This window comes from Homo sapiens, chromosome 5 (genome assembly GCF_000001405.40).
Source record: "Homo sapiens chromosome 5, GRCh38.p14 Primary Assembly".
Taxonomy (NCBI): domain Eukaryota; kingdom Metazoa; phylum Chordata; class Mammalia; order Primates; family Hominidae; genus Homo; species Homo sapiens.
In genome coordinates this window covers 70,210,708-70,232,916 of record NC_000005.10, presented here as the reverse complement: position 1 = coordinate 70,232,916, position 22,209 = coordinate 70,210,708, and the positions used below count along the sequence as shown (strand labels likewise).

At 47.1% G+C, this 22,209-nt stretch overlaps 1 protein-coding gene and 2 pseudogenes across 3 annotated transcripts in view; 2 read left to right on the top strand and 1 right to left on the bottom strand.

Moving 5' to 3' along the window:
- The window catches only part of GUSBP14 (GUSB pseudogene 14), a 162,716-nt pseudogene that overhangs the window by 57,261 nt on the left and 83,246 nt on the right, over window positions 1–22,209 (top strand). For both annotated transcript variants that reach the window (NR_029426.1, NR_024054.2), the window contains 3 exons: window positions 7,122–7,309; window positions 10,902–10,986; window positions 12,825–12,999. The product of NR_029426.1 is annotated as a GUSB pseudogene 14, transcript variant 1 (transcript). Of the gene's footprint in view, window positions 1–7,121; window positions 7,310–10,901; window positions 10,987–12,824; window positions 13,000–22,209 lie in introns of those variants that run through there.
- Window positions 14,838–19,161, bottom strand: LOC643367 (POM121 membrane glycoprotein (rat) pseudogene; annotated as a pseudogene).
- LOC124900998 (uncharacterized) lies at window positions 16,848–17,977 on the top strand. Its single transcript, XM_047417977.1, has one exon. It carries the CDS (start codon window positions 16,897–16,899, stop codon window positions 17,479–17,481), a length of 585 nt encoding a protein of 194 aa, XP_047273933.1. The 5' UTR covers window positions 16,848–16,896; the 3' UTR covers window positions 17,482–17,977.

Below are 22,209 nucleotides of genomic sequence, written 5' to 3'. Positions count from 1 at the left end.
CCTGTGCAGTGAAATTGAAGACAGAATCACCAGGATGGAACACAGGTCTTGCAGGATCACGGAAAACCTTCTTAGAGTTGTCTTGACACCACTGATGTCGAGTGTGCGGGTGTTTGTAGGATGGCCTGCCACTCAGTCCAGGGGCAGGAGCAACGGGGAGATCCCACAAGCAAAGTGAACTGGGGGATGGGCTGAAGGGGCTCCAGGCAACTGAGCCCTACTCGCAGGTCCTCGGCCTTGGCCCAAACAGGAATGAGGGGCACAGAGTGCCCGGGTAACCGCTCCTGGGAGCAGTGGGGAACTGTCGGATACTTGAACTCTCAAGAGCTGGGCTCTGAGCGTCCTCGTCCAGCTGCCAACTTGGCCAAAGGCTAAGCCAGCAGATTGTTCTGTTGCCGGGCAACGCGACTTCTAAACCTGAGGGAGTGGGCATGTGAGCACATAATGGCACCAGTGACAGAGCGACCATAATGGATGAATAAGCGCAGCCAGGTACCGGCGCAAGGCACCTGCTGGCAATGGCAGGAGGCGGACGTGGGGGGTCGTGCAGTAGGTACTGGAGGGAGAGACGTGGGCACAAAGGTCGCGGGAGGAACAGGTGCCCACAATGGCTGCATATTTGCCCGTGGATCACTGAAGATTCCTGCTCTCCTGCTGAGGTGGAGACTGCAGTGAGCTGAGATCGCACCATTGCACTCCAGCCTGGGCAACGAGTGCAAAACTCAGTCTCCAGATAAAAAAAAGAAAAAGAAAAAAAAGAGGCCGGGTGTGGTGGCTTATGCCTATGATCCTAGCACTTTGGGAGGTCGGGGTGGACGGATCACGAGATCAGGAGTTGGAGGCCAGCCTGGCCAACATAGTGAAAGCCCGTCTCTAGTAAAAATACAAAATTTAGTCAGACATGGTGGGCAGGAGAGAGCATGTGCAGGGGAACATCCATTTATAAAACCATCAGACCTCATGAGACTTATTCACTACCATGAGAACAGCATGGGGGAAACTGCCTCCATGATTCAGTTATCTCCACCTGGCCCCACCCTTGACACATGGGAATTGTTACAATTCAAGATGAGATTTGGGTGCGGACAGAGCCAAACCATATAATTCTTCCCCGGCCCCTCCCAAATCTCATGTCCTCATATTTCAAAAGCAATCGTGCCTTCCCCTAAGTCCCCCAAACTCTTATTTCAGCATTAACTCAAAATTCCATAGTCCAAAGTCTCATCTGAGACAAGGCAAGTCCCTTCCACCTATGAGCCTGTAAAATCAAAAGCAAGTTAGTTATTTTCTAGATACACAGGGATACAGGCATTGGGTAGATACACTCGTTTCAAATGGGAGAAATTGGCCAAAGCGAAAGAGCTACAGGCCCCATGCAAGTCCAAAACCCAGCAGGCAAATCTTAAAGCTCCAAAATGACCTCCTTTGACTCCATGTGTCACATCTAGGTGATGCAAGAAGTGGGTTCCCAGGGTCTTGGGCAGCCCCGCCCCTGTGGCTTTGCAGGGTACAGCCCCCCTTCTGGCTGCATTGAGTGTCTGCAGCTTTTCCAGGCACACAGTGCAAGCTGTCAGTGGATCTACCATTCTGGGGTCTGGAGGATGGTGGCCCTTTTCTCACAGCTCTGCTTGGCAGTACCCCAGTGGGGACTCTGTGTGGAAGCTCCAACCCCATATTTCCCTTTGACACTGCCCTAGCAGAGGTTATCCATGAGGGCCCCCCCTCCCCTCCCCTCCCCCCCACAGCAAACTTTTGCCTGGATTTCCAGGCATTTTCATACATCTTCTGAAATGTAGGCAGAGGTTCATGAACGTTAATGCTTGACTTCGGTGCATCTGCAGGCTTAACACCACCTAGAACCTGAAAGGCTTGGAACTTGCACCCTCTGAAGCCATGGCCTGAGGTGTACCTTGGCCCCTTTTACCTATGGCAGGAGCAGCTGGGATGCAGGGCCCCAAGTTCCTAGGCTGCACACAGCAGGGGGTTCTGGACCCACAAAACCATTTTTCCTTCTAAGCCTCCTGGCCTGTGATGGGAGGGTCTGCTGTGAGGGTCTCTAACATGCCCTGGAGACATTTGCCCCATTGTCTTGGTGATTAACATTTGGCTCCTCATTACTTATGCAAATTTCTACAACCCAGTCTCCTGAGAAAATAGATTTTTCTTTTCTGTTGCATCATCAGGCTACAAATTTTCTGAACTTTTATGCTCTGCTTCTTCTCGAATGCTTTGCTGCTTAGAAATTTCTTCTGTCAGATACCTTAAATCATCTCTCTCAAGTTCAAAGTTCCACAGATCTGTAGGGAACTCTAGAAAAAAATTCTTATTTTCCCTCTTTCCCGCCTATCTTATGCCCGTTTCTAATACAGGTGCACAATGCCTGCAGTGTCTTTGCATAGTAAGAGTGACTTTACTCCATTTCCCAACAAATTCCTCATCTGCCTCTGAGACCACCTCCGCCTGGACCTTGTTGTCCATATCACTATTAACATTTTGGTCAAAGCCATTCAACAAGTCTCTAGGAAGTTCCAAACTTTCCCACATTTTCCTATCCTCTTCTGAGCCTTCCAAACTGTTCCAGCCTCTCCCTGTTACCCATTTCCAAAGTTGCTTCCACATTTTCGGGTATCTTTACAGCAGCACCCCACTCTACTGGTATCAACTTATTGTATTAGTCTGTTCTCACACTGCAAATAAAGACATACCTGAGACTGGGTAATTTATAAAGGAAAGAGGTTGAATTGACTCACAGTTCTGCATGGCTGGGGAGGCCTCACAGTCATGGTGGAAGGCAAGGAGGTGCAAAAGCATGTCTCACATAGTGGCAGGCAGGAGAGAGCATGTGCAGGGGAGCTCCCATTTATAAAACCATCAGATCTCATGAGACTTAGTCACTACCGCGAGAACAGTATGGGGGGAACCATCCCCATGATTCAGTTATCTGCACCCGGCCCCACCCTTGACACGTGGGAATTATTACAATGCAAGGTGAGATTTGGGTGGGGACCCATCCAAACTATGTCAGTATGTTTTGACTTCTTGCTTGATTGCTAGGTTGCATAGAGGACAAACATGGAAATTAATGAAGTACCTTAATATCTGGCTTCAGATCTTAGACAGGATCAGAGGGCCAGCTCAAATTTGCAAGGAGGGGAGGTAGATCCCACCATTTTATGGGTGAATGGCAAAATCAAACAGAAATTATGTGGGATGGGAGATACTGATGCAGGCATCTTTGGAAACATTCTACTTAGCTAATTTTATGCTAGGCTTTAGGTCAAGAAGGAGAGAGAGAGCTGACATGCTGTGGTACACACTTATAGTCCCAGCGACTTGGAAAGCTGAGGCAGGAGGATTGCTTGATCCCAGGAGTTTGAGGTAGTGTGCGATGATCGTTCTTGTGAATAGCCACTAGCCACTGAACTCCAGCTTGGGCAACATTGAGACACCCTGTCTCTTAATTTAAAAAAAAAAAAAAAAAAAAAAGGAGGAAAGAAAGTGGTCTCAGTTTTTAATGTAAATATTTTTAATGGGATACTGATATTTTAAGATTAATGTATATTGTATATCAGTTAACTGCAGGTCAATAATTATGTAAAACTTAAGGTACGAAAAACATTTATTTTTGCTAACATATCTGTGAGTTGACTGTTGTTGGCTTGGTGAGGCTGCAAGCTGCAGATAGAGTCTAGGTATGTTTTCTGTGTGTTTGTTCCCCCTTGGATCAGTGGACTACCTGAGAATGTGTTTCTGTCACAGTGATAGAATCACAAGGAAACTCCAGTTCTGGAAGTACATTTTAAGCCATTGCTTCTCTCATGTCCACTAACATTCAGTCAGCCAAAGCACATACCTTGTCCATGGCTAACATTGATAGTATAGATAAATATACCTGATCTCTAGCAGGAGGAACTGCATTGTCTTGGGGAAAGGTTTTAGATATAGGGAGGGGTGATGAGTTGGGAACAATAATGTAGTCTGCCGCAAACATATTAAAGTGTAACTGGATATGGTTGCTGCAGAATTTTGAACCTTTGTTTTAATTGTGATTTTTACTCTTTCCCCCCTATCTAGTGCCCTTTTGTAATACAGTAATTATCATGATTTTTGTCTGAACTGAAATCTTCTGAGATTAGATTGTCTACGAAAATACAGTCGATCCTCCTTGTTTTCAGCTTTTGTATTTGTGAACTCACCTACTATTTTTTGTAACCCCCAAATCAGTACTCACAGCACTTTCATAGTCATGTGTTTGCGCAGAGTGTCAAAGAATTTGAGTTTGAACAGGATGATATTCTGCCTTCTTTTTCAGCTCTCATACAATAGTCAGGTATCCTTTTTGTGGTCTATTTAATGCCATGCTTTTCCTGTTTTTGTACTGTTTGTTGGTTGTTTTGCCATTTAAATTAACCCCCAAGCATAGTGCTGAAGTGCTGCTTAGCATTCACAAGTCCAAGAAGTCTGTGATGTGTCTTACAGAGAAAATACATGCATTAAATAAACTCCATTCAGGCGTGAGTGCTGTAGTGCCGTTGGCTGTGAGTTCAATGTTAATGAATGAACAATGTATATTATTTATTTATTCTTCATTTAATTAATTATTATTATTATTTTTTTTGAGATAGAGTCTCACTCTGTTGCTCAGGCTGGAGTGCAGTGGTGCAGTCTTGGCTCACTGCAACCTCTGCCTCCTGGGTTCAAGCGATTCCCCTGCCTTCGCCTCCCAAGTAGCTAAGACTACAGGCATGCGCCACCATGCCTGGCTAATTTTTTTTTTTTTTTTTTGTAGTTTTAGTAGAGACGGGGTTTCACCACGTTGGCCAGGCTGGTCTCGAACTCCAGACCTCAAATGATCTGCCCGCCTTGGCTTCCCAAAGTGCTGGGATTACAGGCGTTAGCCACTGTGCCTGGCCAACAATATATATTAAATAAGCACACATACAACAAAAGTAGGTGTTGGTAAGCTTACAAAAGTGTGACCAGTAGCTTGCTGAAACCTAACTTTTTATTTGTTCATGGAACTTTCTAGACCGTAACTACACTGAATAATGAGAATCTGCTGTAATCTTTTTAGGTGCTGTAGATGAGCCATTGGATTAAATTATTACAGTATGTTTCAGACTGCTGTATGTTGAACCCTAGTGAAATGCCTCTCAAACCTTCATAAGGATCACAATCTCATGTCCTTTTTTTTTGTTATTAAATGCCCAGTATGTGTTAGCGATTTAAACAAAATTCAAATATTTTTTTTTTTTTTTTTGAGACAGAGTCTCGCTCTGTCACCTAAGCTGGAGAGTGCAGTGGTATGATCTCGGCTCACTACAACCTCTGCCTCCCGGGTTCAGGCGATTCTCCTGCCTCAGCATCCTGAGTAGCTGGGATTACAGGCACCCGCCACCACGCTGGGCTAATTTTTGTATTTTTAGTAGAGACGGGGTTTCGCCAGGTTGTCCAGGCTGGTCTGGAACTCCTGACCTCATGCGATCTGCCTGCCTTGGCCTCCTGAAGTGCTGGGATTATAGGCGTGAGCCACCATGCCCGGCGTTGACTTCTTAATAATAACCATACTGACTGGTGTGAGATGGTATGCCATTGTGGTTTTGATTTGCATTTCTCTAATGATCAGTGATATTGAGCTTTTTCTCATATGCTTGTTGGCCGCATGTGTGTCTTCTTTTGAAGTGTCTGTTTATGTCCTGTGCCCACTTTCTAATGAGATTTTTTTTTTTTCTTGTAAATTTGTTTAAGTTCCTTATCAGTGTTGGACATTAGATCTTTGTCACATGCATTGTTGCAAAAATTTTCTCCCATTCTGTAGGTTGTCTGTTCACTCTGTTGATAGTTTCTTTTGCTGTGCAGAAGCTTCAAGAAGAAAGGAATCCGATTGGTTCTGTGTCTGTCTCTTTTGGTATTCTCAGAATTATGTAGTCATTCATATAGAAAGATGATTAGGAAAATAGGACAAGAATAGCAGAAATCTACATAAAAATGTAGGAAATTAAAATTAGTTACCAGCATACAAAAAACTTCTGTATGTTATAATTACATACTATAACTCACCCCTCCTTGGCAAATATTCTCTCTCTTTTGACTTCAAAATCATGGCTTATATGTACTTTCTCTATTTCCCAGATGCAAATATAATTAATTGACTTTATTTATCTAGGAAATGTTACTCATATCTTAATTGTAGTCATTGGCTTGAGTGACGGGTTTTGGTAATTCAACTACTATTACTTGAAAGTAGTAGATTTCATAGGATACTGTTATAAAATCTTTTTAACCTCTTTTCTGATTTCAGGAGTAATTAGTAATTGTGGTTTACTGGAAAATTCAATGAATAGGGTGTTAAAGGAAGCAATTCATTAATAATATATGTAATCTATTGGGAGACTGAGGCGGGTGGATCACCTGAGTTCAGGAGTTCGAGACCAGCCTGGCCAACATGGCAAAACTCCGTCTCTACTGAAAATAGAAAAATTCGCCGGGCATGGTGGTGCATTCCTGTATTCCCAGGTACTCGGAAGGCTGAGGCAGGAGAATCACCTGAACTCCAGAGGTGGAGGTTGCAGCGAGTCAGGATCGCAGCACTACACTCCAGCCTGGGTGACAGTGAGACTCCATCTCAAAAAAAAAAAAAAAAAAAAAAAAAAAAAAAAAAAAAATTAAAAAATTAAATTAAAAGCGGGCTGGGCGCATTGGTTCAGGGCCGGGCACGGTGGCTCAAGCCTGTAATCCCAGCACTTTGGGAGGCCGAGGCAGGCGGATCACGAGGTCAGGAGATCAAGACCATCCTGGCTAATGTGGTGAAACCCCGTCTCTACTAACAATACAAAAATTAGCTGGATGTGGTGGCAGGTGCCTGTAATCCCAGCTATTCCAGAGGCTGAGGCAGGAGAATCACTTGAACCTGGGAGGCAGAGGTTTCAGTGAGTCCAGATCATGCCACTGCACTCCAGCCTGGGTGACAGAGCGAGATTCTATCTCAAAAAAAAAAAAAAAAAAAAAAAAAGCAACAGAAGCAAATGAGAGTGCCTGGGAGTGGTCATTGTGGGGCCTTCCCGTTTGTGTGACCCAGGTCATGTCCCTCCCTAAGCCCTGGTCTCTCTTGCCTCCTGCAGGGCTGGTGAATTACCAGATCTCCGTCAAGTGCAGTAACCAGTTCAAGTTGGAAGTGTGTCTTTTGAATGCAGAAAACAAAGTCGTGGACAACCAGGCTGGGACCCAGGGCCAGCTGAAGGTGCTGGGTGCCAACCTCTGGTGGCCGTACCTGATGCACGAACACCCCGCCTACCTGTACTCGTGGGAGGTAATGGTGGTTTGGGACTTGCGTAAGGGAGGTCTTTTGCCCCCATCTGGTAGCCCTGGCTTCAGCAGGAGCCCAGGACAGGTGAACGGGCAGGTGTGGTCCTCTGAGCTTTCTGATGTTTCCCACCCTTGGTGGGAGGCCCAGATTTTTTATTTATTTATTTATTTATTTATTTATTTATTTATTTATTTATTTGTTTTTGTGATGGTCTCACTCTGTCACCCAGGCTGGAATGCAATGGCCTGATCACAGCTCACTGCAGCTTTGAGCTGCAATCCTCCTACCTTGGCCTCCTGAGTAGCTGGGACTACAGGCACATGCCACCATGCCTGGCTAATTAAAAAAATTTTTTTTGTAGGCCGGGCATGGTGGCTCACACCTGTAATCCCAGCACTTCGGGAGGCTGACGCGGGCGGATCACTTTAGGCCAGGAGTTGGAGACCAGCCTGGCCAACATGGTGAAACCCCGTCTCTACTAAAATATGAAAATTTGCAGGGCATGATGGTGCACGTCTGTAATCCCAGCTACTCGGGAGGCTGAGGCAGGGGAATTGCTTGAACCCAGGAGGCAGGGGCTGCGGTGAATTGAGATCATGCCGCAGCACTCTATCCTGGGTGACAGAGTGAGACTGTCTCAAAAAAAAAAAAACTCCTTTTTATAGAGTTGGGGTCTTACTAGGTTGCCCAGGCTGGTCTTGAACTCCTGGACTCAGGTGATCCTCCTGCCTTAGCCTCCCAAAGTGTAGGGATTCCAGGCATGAGCCACCTCGTCTGGTCAAGGAGAAGGCCTGATTTTGAAGGGCAGGTCCCAGGGTCAGCCAGTGAAGGGCAGAGCCTCTGGTTGCTGCTTCTCTGCAGGCCCAGTGGCGACTTCTGGGGTGCATGCACGAGGGGTCTTCCTGCTGTAGGGCAGGCCAGATGGGGCTCAGGCTGTCGGGGCGCTCACACCTGGCGCTTTGGCTGTCGTAGGTGCGGCTGACTGCACAGAAGTCACTGGGGCCTTTGACTTCTACACACTCCCTGTGGGGCTCCGCACTGTGCCCGTCACCGAGAGCCAGTGGGTGAGAGCCAGTTTCATTTGCGGTAGAGGCAGCAGAGGTTGTAGAAATGCTCCTTGAGGCAGATGCCACACCCCAATTTCATGGAGTGATTTGGGCTGAGCCGAGTCTGCAGCAGGCAGAAGGCTCTGAGATGTTGTCCTAGCCTGGGCAAAGGACAGTTCAGAGCTCGGGGGAATAGGGGTGTGCTCAGCACGACTGGGTGGACAGGCCGTTTGTTGTGAATCGTACAGGCTTCCAGGAGCGGGTGCCTGAGGCTTCCAGACAGGCTTTGGGAGGTGGCCAGAGGAGATGCCTGTTTCCGGGGCAGGAAATGGAGGGAGGGCCCAGGCTGGAGAGGTTCAGCCAGGCTGTCACAAGGCTTTGAAGCTTCCCATCTGAGAGCCTGGCTATTGGAGAGTGTGGGTTTGGAACTTGAGGCTAGGAGGTTCTATTCTGTCCTGTGCCAGCCACAGCCTTCGGATGGGCAGAGCAATGATGGGGGGAAGATGTAAAAGAAAAGAACTGAGGAAAGAAGAAGAAAACCAGCTTCAACAACGGTCTAGGCCGGATGCGGTGGGTCACGCCTGTAATCCCAGCAGTTTGGGAGGCTGAGGTGGGTGGATCACCCGAGGTCAGGAGTTCGAGACCAGCCTGGTCAACAGGTAGTGAATCCTGTCTCTACTAAAAATACAAAAATTAGCTGGGCATGGTGGTGGACGTCTGTAATGCCAGCTACCAGGTAGGCTGAGGCAGGAGAATCGCCTCAGGTGAACCAGGAGGCAGAGATTGCAATGAGCTGAGATAATGCCACTGCATTCCAGCCTGGGCTACAGAATGAGACTCTGTATCTCAACAAAACAAAACAAAACAAAAACACAACAGTCTGTTCTGTGGAGGCCTTGGGCAGATGCTGGGAGCTCTGAGCACGGACTGGTCCCTCTGTTGGGAGCCTCTTCCCTTCATCCCTCCTGGTTAACTTGACTCAGCATAAAGGCCATTTCTTCTAAGAGCCTGTCCCTGACTCTCCAATCGGGGATGTGTCTGTTGTCTCATAGAGTGCCCAATTCCTGCCACCACTTGTCATTTCCATTCGCAACATTTCTTTCATTGTTTGTTTTTCAGAGTCAGGGTCTCACTCTGTTGCCCAGGCTGGAGTGCAGTGGTGCAATCATAGCTCGTTGCCATCTCGACCTCCTGGGCTTAAGCGATCCTCCCCACTCAGCCTCCCAAATAGCTGGGACCACAGACGTGCGCTGCCTTGCCAGGCTAAATTTTAATATTTTTTTTTCCCCACGAGTCAGAGTCTTGCTCTGTCTCCCAGGCTGGAGAGCAGTGTTGCGGTCTTGGCTCACTGCGTCCTCTACCTCCTGGGTACAAACAGTTCTCCTGCCTCACCCTCCCGAGTAGCTGGGATTACAGGCTCACGCCACCATGCCCAGCTAGTTTTCTTCTTTATTTTTTGTTGAGATGGGGTTTCACCATGTTGGCCAGGCTGGTCTCGAACTCTTGAGCTCGTGATCCACCTGCCTTGGCCTCCCAAAGTGCTCACAGGCTTGAGCCACCATGCCCGGCCCTAATTTTTAAATTTGTTGTAGAAACAAGGTCTTGCTATGTTGTCCAGGCTGGTCTCAAGCGCCTGGTCTCAAGTAAGCCTCCCAAAGTGCTGGGGTTCTAGGCTTGAGCCACCTCGCCTGGCACTTGCACCGTTTTTCTGTGCATGCATCTCCACTCCCACTGCCCAGGACCTGTGGACTTAGATTTGAGTCATTACTGAGCACCTAGCACCCAGCCTCATGCCTACCTCCCACCTCGCACTACCTGTTTGCTTGATGCATTAATAAATATTCCACCTGAATCCACAGCCCATTCACTCCTGTGTTCAAGAGCTATTTCAGGAAGTGAACCTCATTTCTGGCAGTGTTCAGTCCAGTGACCTCAGCTCTGTGTACCCGGCAGGGTGGCTACGCCTCTGGGGGAGTTGGATTCAGGGGTGGGGGAGAAAGAGTGTTGTTAGAGAGCTCGGTCTAGGACTAGAGGAACGTGCCCTTATGTAAAATACATCTCAAGTTAGGGAAGAAAGCAGCGGCTCTGTGCTTTGTTTTTTTTTTTTTTTTTTCTTTTCTTTCTTTTTTTTTTTTTGTTTGTTTGTTTGTTTGTTTGTTTGTTTTGGGGCAGGGTCTTGCTCTGTGGCCCAGGCTGGAGTGCAGTAGCGTGATTTCGGCTCACTGCAACCTCCACCTCCCGGGTTCAAGCAATTCTTGTGCTTCAGCCTCCCGAGTAGCTGGAGTTACAGATGCGTGCCACTAAGCCTGGCTAATTTTTGTATATTTAGTAGAAATGGGGTTTTGCCATGTTGGCCAGGCTGTTCTTGAACCCCTGACCTCAGTGATCTGCCTGCCTCAGCCTCCTGAAGTGCTGGGATTACAGGCGTGAGCCATCGTGCCTGGCCCCCAGTTGTGTTCTGGCAGGGGAAGATGGGACGGAGAGGATGGGAGGGTGTCTGAGCCTTTCCCGGACTGACGGAACCTGTGTCTTCTCTCTTTTGTGGACAGGATGGTGATTGCTCACACCAAAGCCTTGGACCCCTCCCAGCCTGTGACCTTTGTGACCAACTCCACCTACGCAGCAGACAAGGGGGTGAGCCTGGGGGTCCCCACCCCATTTCTCCCTGCCTTTGCCTGGGCTTGTCCTGAAGCCTGCTCATGGGAACAGCTGGAAAGAACCATGTGCTGCCAGTCTGAGCTTTTTATTTTGTTTTACTTAGAAAGATAGAGACAGGGTCTTGCCATGTTGCCCAGGCTGGTCTCGAACTCCTGGGCTCAAGTGATCCTCCTGCCTCGGCCTTCCAAAGGGCTGGGGTTACAGGCGTGTGCCACCGCACTCAGCCGCAGCCAGTCTGTTTTCAAAGATGGTCTTTGGGTTAATGACAATTCTCTCTCTGCTTACTCTCCAGGCAGTGTGGCTTTCTGAATCCAAGGAGGCTGGGCATAGGGAGATGGGATTTGTTTGCCCGGTTTGGACTCAGCATTTTTTGTACTCGATTTAATAGACTCATAAAATGTCAAAGGTTTAAGTGAGCTTAGAGTTGATCTGGCCCAAACCTGGCTGATCAGAATCTCCAGGGGAAGTTTTATTGAAATGCCAGATCTCTGCGTTCTGAGATCCTGATTTAGTAACTCCAGGGTTGGAACCTGAGTTTTTTGTTTTTTTGTGTGTGTGTGTGAAGGCAAGGTCTTACTCTGTTGCTCTGGCTGGAGTGCAGTGGTGTGATCACAGCTCACTGCAGCCTTGAATTCCTGGGCCTAAGCAACCCTCTTGCCTCAGCCTTCCAAGTAGCTGGGACTCCGGGGGTACACCACTGTGCCCGGCTAATTTTAAATGTTTTTGTAGAGATGGGATCTCACTATGTTGCCCAGGCCAGTCTCAAACTCTTGAGCTCAAGTGATCCTCCTGCCTTAGCCTCCTAAAGTGCTGGGATTACAGGCATGAGCCACCGTGCCTGGCTGATACTAGCATTCTTTTTTATTTTTTATTATTTTTTTAAGATAGAGTCTTGCTCTGTTGCCCAGGCTGGAGTGCAGTGGCACAGTCTCAGCTCAGTGCAACCTCCGCCTCCCAGGTTCAAGCAATTCTCCTGCCTCAGCCTCCCAAGTAGCTGGGATAACAGGCACATGCCACCACGCCTGCGCTTGATCGTGGGAGGCAGAGCTTGCATTATTGTGCCACTCCATTCTAGCCTGGGCAACAGAGCGAGACTCTGTCTTCCAAACAAAGCGGAAAAAGATTATCTGCGAGAATGACTGCATTGGCCCCTTGGGTGGGAGGGCTTCTCCAGGGCAAGGTGAGGGGATGCCCAGTGCTGGGAGTGCTGCCTGGAGAGGAGTCAGTTCCAGTGGCGGGGGCCCTGGGTTTTGGCTGAGGACTGCGTGTTGGCAGCTGCTCTGCCTCTCACAGCCCTTCCCAGCTGCACACGTCGTGAGCGTCAGTGTGCAATCACAGGCCTGCCTCCTTTGGGCCACTTTGTGACCATGTTTTTTGCTTGTGGGGCAGGGTAATTTCAGGATCCAAATTGGTGCAGTTGGATGTTCTCAGCCCCGAGAGGCAGCTCTTCCCGTTCTAGGCTTTTTGTTTTGTTTTGTAGAAATGGAGTCCTACGACGTTGCCCAGGCTGGTCTCAAACTCCTGGGCTCAAGTGATCCTCCCACCTTGGCCTCCCAATGTGCTGGGATTACAGGCATGAGCCACTGTGCCGTGCTGATTTTCTTGATACTATTTTTTGTAGAGCTGGGGTCTTGCTGTGTTGCCCAGGCTGGTCTCGAACTCCTGGCCACAAGCCACCCTCCTGCCTCAGCCTCCCAGAGTGCTGGGATTACATCCCCTTCTTACCTTCTCTGTCAGAGGAGCCCCCACAGCATGTGAGTACTGAGTCATGCGGTCTTGTGGTTGCTGAACGGGCTCTGCTGCTCTGGTCCTAGGCTCTGTATGTGGATGTGATCCGTGTGAACAGCTACTACTCTTGGTATCGCAACTACGGGCACCTGGAGTTGATTCAGCTGCAGCTGGCCGCCCAGTTTGAGAATTGGTGTAAGACATCACAATCCCATTATTCAGAGCGCGTATGGAGTGGAAACGCTTGTAGGGTTTCACCAGGTAAGCGGTGTTGAACTTTCTGCTTGTGTATTCTCTCTGGGCAGAGATGCCACTTGCCTCCCCCACCATGCCATCTCTGAAGAATATTACAGACCATTTTGGAGCATGGTGAATAAGAAATTTTCACCTTAGGAGTTCACTTGAATAGTCATTTTTATATTTGTGACTGCAAGTCACTCTTAGGGGCTGTACTTCCTTAGTACTGGTAGCATTATTATCCAATGGACTTTTATAGCTTTCATTAGGTTTTCTTTTGTTTTTGTTCTTTAAAGAACGTTTTACTTATCTTAGTATTTCATTTTTCATCTATATTATGAGGCAGTAAGAGTCTTCTGTTTTTCCAAAGTTGAGACTGCTTTATATTTATTTCGTATTGTCTACAGCTGTAGTGTTCAATACATTAGCCACTAGCCACATGTGGTTATTTAAATAAGATAAAATAAAAATTGGCCGGGCGTGGTGGGTCACGCCGGTAATCCCAGCACTTTGGGAGGCCGAGGCGGGCAGATCATTAGGTCAGGAGATCGAGACCATCCTTACTAAGACGGTGAACCCCCATCTCTATTAAAAATACAAAAAATTAGCCGGGCGTGGTGGCGGGCGCCTGCAGTCCCAGCTACTCAGGAGGCTGAGGCAGGAGAATGGCGTGAACCTGGGAGGCAGAGTTTGCAGTGAGCCGAGATGGCGCCACTGCACTCCAGCCTGGGGGACAGAGCGAGACTCCATCTCAAAAAAAAAAAGAAAATTAAAAATTAAGTTCTTTAGTTGCACTAGCCATATTTCAAATACTTGATGGATACATGTGGCTAGTGGCTAACATAAGGGATAGCACAGATATAAAACATTTGCTCGTCATATAAAGTTCTATTGGATAGTGCTGGTCTGTAGCTTATAGGATGGTATCTTAGTCTGCTTCAGCTGCTAAAACAGAATACCATAAATTAGGTAGCTTAAACAGTAGATATTTTGACCAGGCGTGGTGGCTTATGCCTGTATTCCTAACACTTTGGGAGGCCGAGGCAGGTGGATAACTTGAGCTCAGGAGTTTGAGACTAGCCTGGGCAGCATGGCAAAACCTTGTCTCTACGAAAATTAGCTGGGCGTGGTGGTGCACGCCTGTAGTCTGAGCTACTTGGGAGGCTGAGGTGGGAGAATTGCTTGAACCTGGGAGGCGGAGGTTGCAGTGAGCCATGATCGCACCACTGTACTCCAGCCTGGATGACAGAATGAGACTCTGTCTCAAAAAAAACAAAAACAAACAAACAAAAAAAAACAGATATTTCTCACAGTTCTGGAGACTGGAAGTGCAAGATCAAAGTGTTGGCAAATTATGTTTCTTAAAGAGGGCCTGCTTCCTAGATTGGAAATGGCCATCTTCTCTCGGTATCCTCACATGGCAGGTAGAAAAGCAGCTCTAGTGTCTCTTCTTATAAAGGAAGTAATGCCACCATAGGGGCTCTATTCTCATGACCTCATCTAAACCTAATTCTCTCCTAAAGGCCACGCCTCCCAGTATCCTCACCTTGGGGGTTAGGGCTTTATCATATGAATTTTTTTTTTTTTTTTTTTTTTTTTGAGACAGAGTCTCGCTCTGTCTGTCACCCAGGCTGGAGTGCAGTGGCACAATCTCGGCTCTCTACAAGCTCCGCCTCCTGGGTTCACGCCATTCTCCTGCGTCAGCCTCCTCAGTAGCTGGGACTAAGGCGCCCGCCACTGCGCCCGGCTAATTTTTTGTATTTTCAGTAGAGACGGGGTTTTACCATGTTAGCCAGGATGATCTCGATCTCCTGACCTCATGATCCACCCGCCTCGGCCTCCCAAAGTGCTGGGATTACAGGCATGAGCCACCGCGCCGGGCCTATCATATGAATTTTGAGGGAACACAAACATGCAGTCTGTAGCAGATGGTAATAGGCTGACATATTACACTTGTTGATGTAAATCTGATAGGTTTCTTTCTCTCCAAGGACAGCTTTTTAAATATTTAACAGTATCAATAATTTTTCAGGTTCTGTGAGAATTTTATAATTTATAATTTGCAGACTTAATGTATAATCTATTTTGTCCTAACAATTACAAATATATTTTTTATTTCAGATTGTATATATTCCTACCAGATGGAGATAATTACAGCTTTAAAAATTTTTATTTTTTCATTTTATTTCACACATTGACATTAAATTTTTATGGACACATAATAACTGTACATATATATGGGGTAGAATGTGATGTTTTAATACATGTACTCAATGTGTAATGATCAAATCAGGGTAATTTGCATAATGATTTTTCTGTAGGGAGAAAATTCAAAATCTACTCTTCTGGCTATTTTCAAATATATAATATGTTATTGTTAACTATACTCATCCTACTATGCAATAGGACACCAGAACTTATTCCTGGGTTCTACATCCGTTAAGGCAACCAAGGATTGGAAATATTGGAAAAAAAAATTGCGTCTGTACTGAACATGTACAGACTTTTTTCTTGTCCTTATTCCTTACACAATATAGTACAATAACTATTTGCATGACATTTACATCGGATATTATGAGTGATCTAGAGTTGATATGAAGTATATGGGAGGATGTGCAAAGGTGATGTGCAAATACTATGTCATTTTATATCAGGGACTTGAGTATCCTTTGTTACCCTCAGGAGATCCTGAAACCAGTCCCCCATGGATACTGAGGGCTGACTGTATAGTCCTATCCTCACGGAACTTTCATTCTAATGGGGGAAGACTGACTATAAACAAAATATATGTAATAGGTGGTGGTAAGTACCGTGGAGAAGTAACAAACGGGGCAAAGTGAGTTATACAGCTCCATTCTTAGAAACCTTGGAGTACTTTTCTTAGTTTATACTCGTGGTGGTTTCCTTTTGTCTCCTTTATTACATGGGACTCTGACATGTGCCCATAGCTAGGGTGACAGTAGGATCTACCCGATAGTAGGGTGGCAGTAGGATCTACCCAAAAAGCGTCCTGCTGATACAGGACCAAAGCATCCTGTTGTTCTCGAGCCTATAAAAAGAGCTAATGGTCTTGCTTCTCTTAACTGTGGCCTCCTACACTGTGTTTTGGATGATTGGTGATGTCTTGGATATTCTGTTTCTTTGGAACTTTGAATATACAACACTTTACTAGGGAATTAGCAATGGAAGCAGAGCAAAGATGTACAGAGGAAACAATGCGTAACTCTGATGGAATTGAAGTCATGAGGCAGCAGAGAGCTTAAATTACAGCTTTAAAAATTTTTATTTTTTAGAGGGAATTTACTTGGGAGTAACAGCAGTAATAGTTAACGGAGCCAGAATGCTTGAGTCATATAATTGCAAAGCAGAGTTGGGAGCAACAGATGCTAAAGAGTAGTTGCTGTAGTTCCTCTTTGGGTCGTAGGAGCAGTTGTCATATTCCTATATAGCTACTGCATGAAGAAGAGTTCTTAGTGAGGCCTGGGTGAACAGCTCTTCTTAGTATTCTGTGTGACCCCATTTGACCTTTTAACAAATCCCTAAGTAAATAAATAGCCCCTCAGGTAAACTAAGTTTTTCTCTGCTGTTTTTTTGCTTGAGAGAGCTATAACTGTAATAGACTTATATTTCTGAACATTTCAGTGCTTGCCAATATTTGGTAATATTTATGTTTCCTATATTTGTAATGAACATTCTTCTTCCGGTACATTTTTTGTTAAATTATTGTTTGATGGATAAAAGTTCACCCTTTATTGTATAAAATTGACTGAGATTAATTTATACACATTGACAATGGGTAAATAGAATTTTTCAGATTATTAAAAGCTGAAGGATGCCCACGTAAGCAAAAAAAAAAAAGAAAAAACCAACAAAAATAAACCCAAACCCCTCAAACAATTTCGAACACGAAACATTCTTCTGATGCCGGCATCCCTGCTTGCAGGTGTGAAGGGGGCAGGAATCAGCGAGGTGTCCTGGGCTGAGTCCCCGGAGTGGGAAGAGGTGGCAGGAAGGGGATCTGAGGAGGAGAACAGGGGTCCTGGTGGTCTGTGCTTCTTCCCAGACACGGGAGCTGTAGAGGAGACCTCTGCAGCAGATGCTAGGGGGGCCAGTAGGCCCAGGCAGTCTTGGGACTTGGGTCTGTCCTGCTGTGCATCCATAGTGGGTGCTTTAGAAACGGGAGGCCCACCCGAAGTCCCTGTTGCAAGTGAGGACAAAGTGTGGGAAGGCCGTGAGGGTCTGCAGTCCGGGATGGCCTTGTCCTCAACGTGCAGTGCACTGTTGATGCGCTGGAATGCCGTCTCTTTTTCCAGGTGCAGGTCTTCAGCCGTGACCCGGTACCCCAGCTCTAAGGGAGGTGGCAGCATCAAAGGCTCCCCTCGCCTGCGTGGCAGCAGGGGAATCTTGCGTCTACGGGGCCTAGAGTCCTGGGATCTGGGGGAGCCACCCGTTGGGGCGATTGTCTGCCCTGGTGCTGTATCTGCCCCCTTTTCACACCGTGTGTGACCCGAAGAGACAGCCTGAGGCCTGTCCTCACTCACTGTCTTTGAGTAACTGAGGGTCAGCTGGCAGCGGGATGAGGCTGGCCCCCTCCTCTGCTTTAGCCCCGGCAAGCCTCCCGTGGAGCTGTAGGAGCTGGAGATGGCATTTCGTTTGGTGCTCGAGCTCGTCCAGGATGTCTGGGATGTGTGGTTATATCTGATTTCTGAGCTCTGGGCGTGGAGGTCTGTCTGCAGAGGCCCGGGCCTGGGCACAAAGGGAGAGGGGCCTCCATTGTCCCGCAGGGGCCAAAATGCAGACCGTGCATCCCCGGTGACCTCGGGGACCGTTCTCTGATCATCAGGATTTTCTTGGACTCTGGGGTCCTTGTCCTGCTCAGGCATCCCTGCCCCGCTCTCCTTGAGGGCCCTCAACACTATCTTCCCTGGACACAAGTCTGGGGACAGCCGGGTGTTGTGGACCCCAAAGGGGTGACTACCTGCTCCTGGGCCCCACAGAGTCCTTGTGCTCAGTGTAGTGGCTGAGCTGGGGGATGCCCTGGAACTCGGAGCACACAGCACTGGCTTACTGTGGTACCTGTGCAGTGAAATTGAAGACAGAATCACCAGGATGGAACACAGGTCTTGCAGGATCACGGAAAACCTTCTTAGAGTTGTCTTGACACCACTGATGTCGAGTGTGCGGGTGTTTGTAGGATGGCCTGCCACTCAGTCCAGGGGCAGGAGCAACGGGGAGATCCCACAAGCAAAGTGAACTGGGGGATGGGCTGAAGGGGCTCCAGGCAACTGAGCCCTACTCGCAGGTCCTCGGCCTTGGCCCAAACAGGAATGAGGGGCACAGAGTGCCCGGGTAACCGCTCCTGGGAGCAGTGGGGAACTGTCGGATACTTGAACTCTCAAGAGCTGGGCTCTGAGCGTCCTCGTCCAGCTGCCAACTTGGCCAAAGGCTAAGCCAGCAGATTGTTCTGTTGCCGGGCAACGCGACTTCTAAACCTGAGGGAGTGGGCATGTGAGCACATAATGGCACCAGTGACAGAGCGACCATAATGGATGAATAAGCGCAGCCAGGTACCGGCGCAAGGCACCTGCTGGCAATGGCAGGAGGCGGACGTGGGGGGTCGTGCAGTAGGTACTGGAGGGAGAGACGTGGGCACAAAGGTCGCGGGAGGAACAGGTGCCCACAATGGCTGCATATTTGCCCGTGGATCACTGAAGATTCCTGCTCTCCTGCTGAGGTGGAGACTGCAGTGAGCTGAGATCGCACCATTGCACTCCAGCCTGGGCAACGAGTGCAAAACTCAGTCTCCAGATAAAAAAAAGAAAAAGAAAAAAAAGAGGCCGGGTGTGGTGGCTTATGCCTATGATCCTAGCACTTTGGGAGGTCGGGGTGGACGGATCACGAGATCAGGAGTTGGAGGCCAGCCTGGCCAACATAGTGAAAGCCCGTCTCTAGTAAAAATACAAAATTTAGTCAGACATGGTGGGCAGGAGAGAGCATGTGCAGGGGAACATCCATTTATAAAACCATCAGACCTCATGAGACTTATTCACTACCATGAGAACAGCATGGGGGAAACTGCCTCCATGATTCAGTTATCTCCACCTGGCCCCACCCTTGACACATGGGAATTGTTACAATTCAAGATGAGATTTGGGTGCGGACAGAGCCAAACCATATAATTCTTCCCCGGCCCCTCCCAAATCTCATGTCCTCATATTTCAAAAGCAATCGTGCCTTCCCCTAAGTCCCCCAAACTCTTATTTCAGCATTAACTCAAAATTCCATAGTCCAAAGTCTCATCTGAGACAAGGCAAGTCCCTTCCACCTATGAGCCTGTAAAATCAAAAGCAAGTTAGTTATTTTCTAGATACACAGGGATACAGGCATTGGGTAGATACACTCGTTTCAAATGGGAGAAATTGGCCAAAGCGAAAGAGCTACAGGCCCCATGCAAGTCCAAAACCCAGCAGGCAAATCTTAAAGCTCCAAAATGACCTCCTTTGACTCCATGTGTCACATCTAGGTGATGCAAGAAGTGGGTTCCCAGGGTCTTGGGCAGCCCCGCCCCTGTGGCTTTGCAGGGTACAGCCCCCCTTCTGGCTGCATTGAGTGTCTGCAGCTTTTCCAGGCACACAGTGCAAGCTGTCAGTGGATCTACCATTCTGGGGTCTGGAGGATGGTGGCCCTTTTCTCACAGCTCTGCTTGGCAGTACCCCAGTGGGGACTCTGTGTGGAAGCTCCAACCCCATATTTCCCTTTGACACTGCCCTAGCAGAGGTTATCCATGAGGGCCCCCCCTCCCCTCCCCTCCCCCCCACAGCAAACTTTTGCCTGGATTTCCAGGCATTTTCATACATCTTCTGAAATGTAGGCAGAGGTTCATGAACGTTAATGCTTGACTTCGGTGCATCTGCAGGCTTAACACCACCTAGAACCTGAAAGGCTTGGAACTTGCACCCTCTGAAGCCATGGCCTGAGGTGTACCTTGGCCCCTTTTACCTATGGCAGGAGCAGCTGGGATGCAGGGCCCCAAGTTCCTAGGCTGCACACAGCAGGGGGTTCTGGACCCACAAAACCATTTTTCCTTCTAAGCCTCCTGGCCTGTGATGGGAGGGTCTGCTGTGAGGGTCTCTAACATGCCCTGGAGACATTTGCCCCATTGTCTTGGTGATTAACATTTGGCTCCTCATTACTTATGCAAATTTCTACAACCCAGTCTCCTGAGAAAATAGATTTTTCTTTTCTGTTGCATCATCAGGCTACAAATTTTCTGAACTTTTATGCTCTGCTTCTTCTCGAATGCTTTGCTGCTTAGAAATTTCTTCTGTCAGATACCTTAAATCATCTCTCTCAAGTTCAAAGTTCCACAGATCTGTAGGGAACTCTAGAAAAAAATTCTTATTTTCCCTCTTTCCCGCCTATCTTATGCCCGTTTCTAATACAGGTGCACAATGCCTGCAGTGTCTTTGCATAGTAAGAGTGACTTTACTCCATTTCCCAACAAATTCCTCATCTGCCTCTGAGACCACCTCCGCCTGGACCTTGTTGTCCATATCACTATTAACATTTTGGTCAAAGCCATTCAACAAGTCTCTAGGAAGTTCCAAACTTTCCCACATTTTCCTATCCTCTTCTGAGCCTTCCAAACTGTTCCAGCCTCTCCCTGTTACCCATTTCCAAAGTTGCTTCCACATTTTCGGGTATCTTTACAGCAGCACCCCACTCTACTGGTATCAACTTATTGTATTAGTCTGTTCTCACACTGCAAATAAAGACATACCTGAGACTGGGTAATTTATAAAGGAAAGAGGTTGAATTGACTCACAGTTCTGCATGGCTGGGGAGGCCTCACAGTCATGGTGGAAGGCAAGGAGGTGCAAAAGCATGTCTCACATAGTGGCAGGCAGGAGAGAGCATGTGCAGGGGAGCTCCCATTTATAAAACCATCAGATCTCATGAGACTTAGTCACTACCGCGAGAACAGTATGGGGGGAACCATCCCCATGATTCAGTTATCTGCACCCGGCCCCACCCTTGACACGTGGGAATTATTACAATGCAAGGTGAGATTTGGGTGGGGACCCATCCAAACTATGTCAGTATGTTTTGACTTCTTGCTTGATTGCTAGGTTGCATAGAGGACAAACATGGAAATTAATGAAGTACCTTAATATCTGGCTTCAGATCTTAGACAGGATCAGAGGGCCAGCTCAAATTTGCAAGGAGGGGAGGTAGATCCCACCATTTTATGGGTGAATGGCAAAATCAAACAGAAATTATGTGGGATGGGAGATACTGATGCAGGCATCTTTGGAAACATTCTACTTAGCTAATTTTATGCTAGGCTTTAGGTCAAGAAGGAGAGAGAGAGCTGACATGCTGTGGTACACACTTATAGTCCCAGCGACTTGGAAAGCTGAGGCAGGAGGATTGCTTGATCCCAGGAGTTTGAGGTAGTGTGCGATGATCGTTCTTGTGAATAGCCACTAGCCACTGAACTCCAGCTTGGGCAACATTGAGACACCCTGTCTCTTAATTTAAAAAAAAAAAAAAAAAAAAAAGGAGGAAAGAAAGTGGTCTCAGTTTTTAATGTAAATATTTTTAATGGGATACTGATATTTTAAGATTAATGTATATTGTATATCAGTTAACTGCAGGTCAATAATTATATAAAACTTAAGGTACGAAAAACATTTATTTTTGCTAACATATCTGTGAGTTGACTGTTGTTGGCTTGGTGAGGCTGCAAGCTGCAGATAGAGTCTAGGTATGTTTTCTGTGTGTTTGTTCCCCCTTGGATCAGTGGACTACCTGAGAATGTGTTTCTGTCACAGTGATAGAATCACAAGGAAACTCCAGTTCTGGAAGTACATTTTAAGCCATTGCTTCTCTCATGTCCACTAACATTCAGTCAGCCAAAGCACATACCTTGTCCATGGCTAACATTGATAGTATAGATAAATATACCTGATCTCTAGCAGGAGGAACTGCATTGTCTTGGGGAAAGGTTTTAGATATAGGGAGGGGTGATGAGTTGGGAACAATAATGTAGTCTGCCGCAAACATATTAAAGTGTAACTGGATATGGTTGCTGCAGAATTTTGAACCTTTGTTTTAATTGTGATTTTTACTCTTTCCCCCCTATCTAGTGCCCTTTTGTAATACAGTAATTATCATGATTTTTGTCTGAACTGAAATCTTCTGAGATTAGATTGTCTACGAAAATACAGTCGA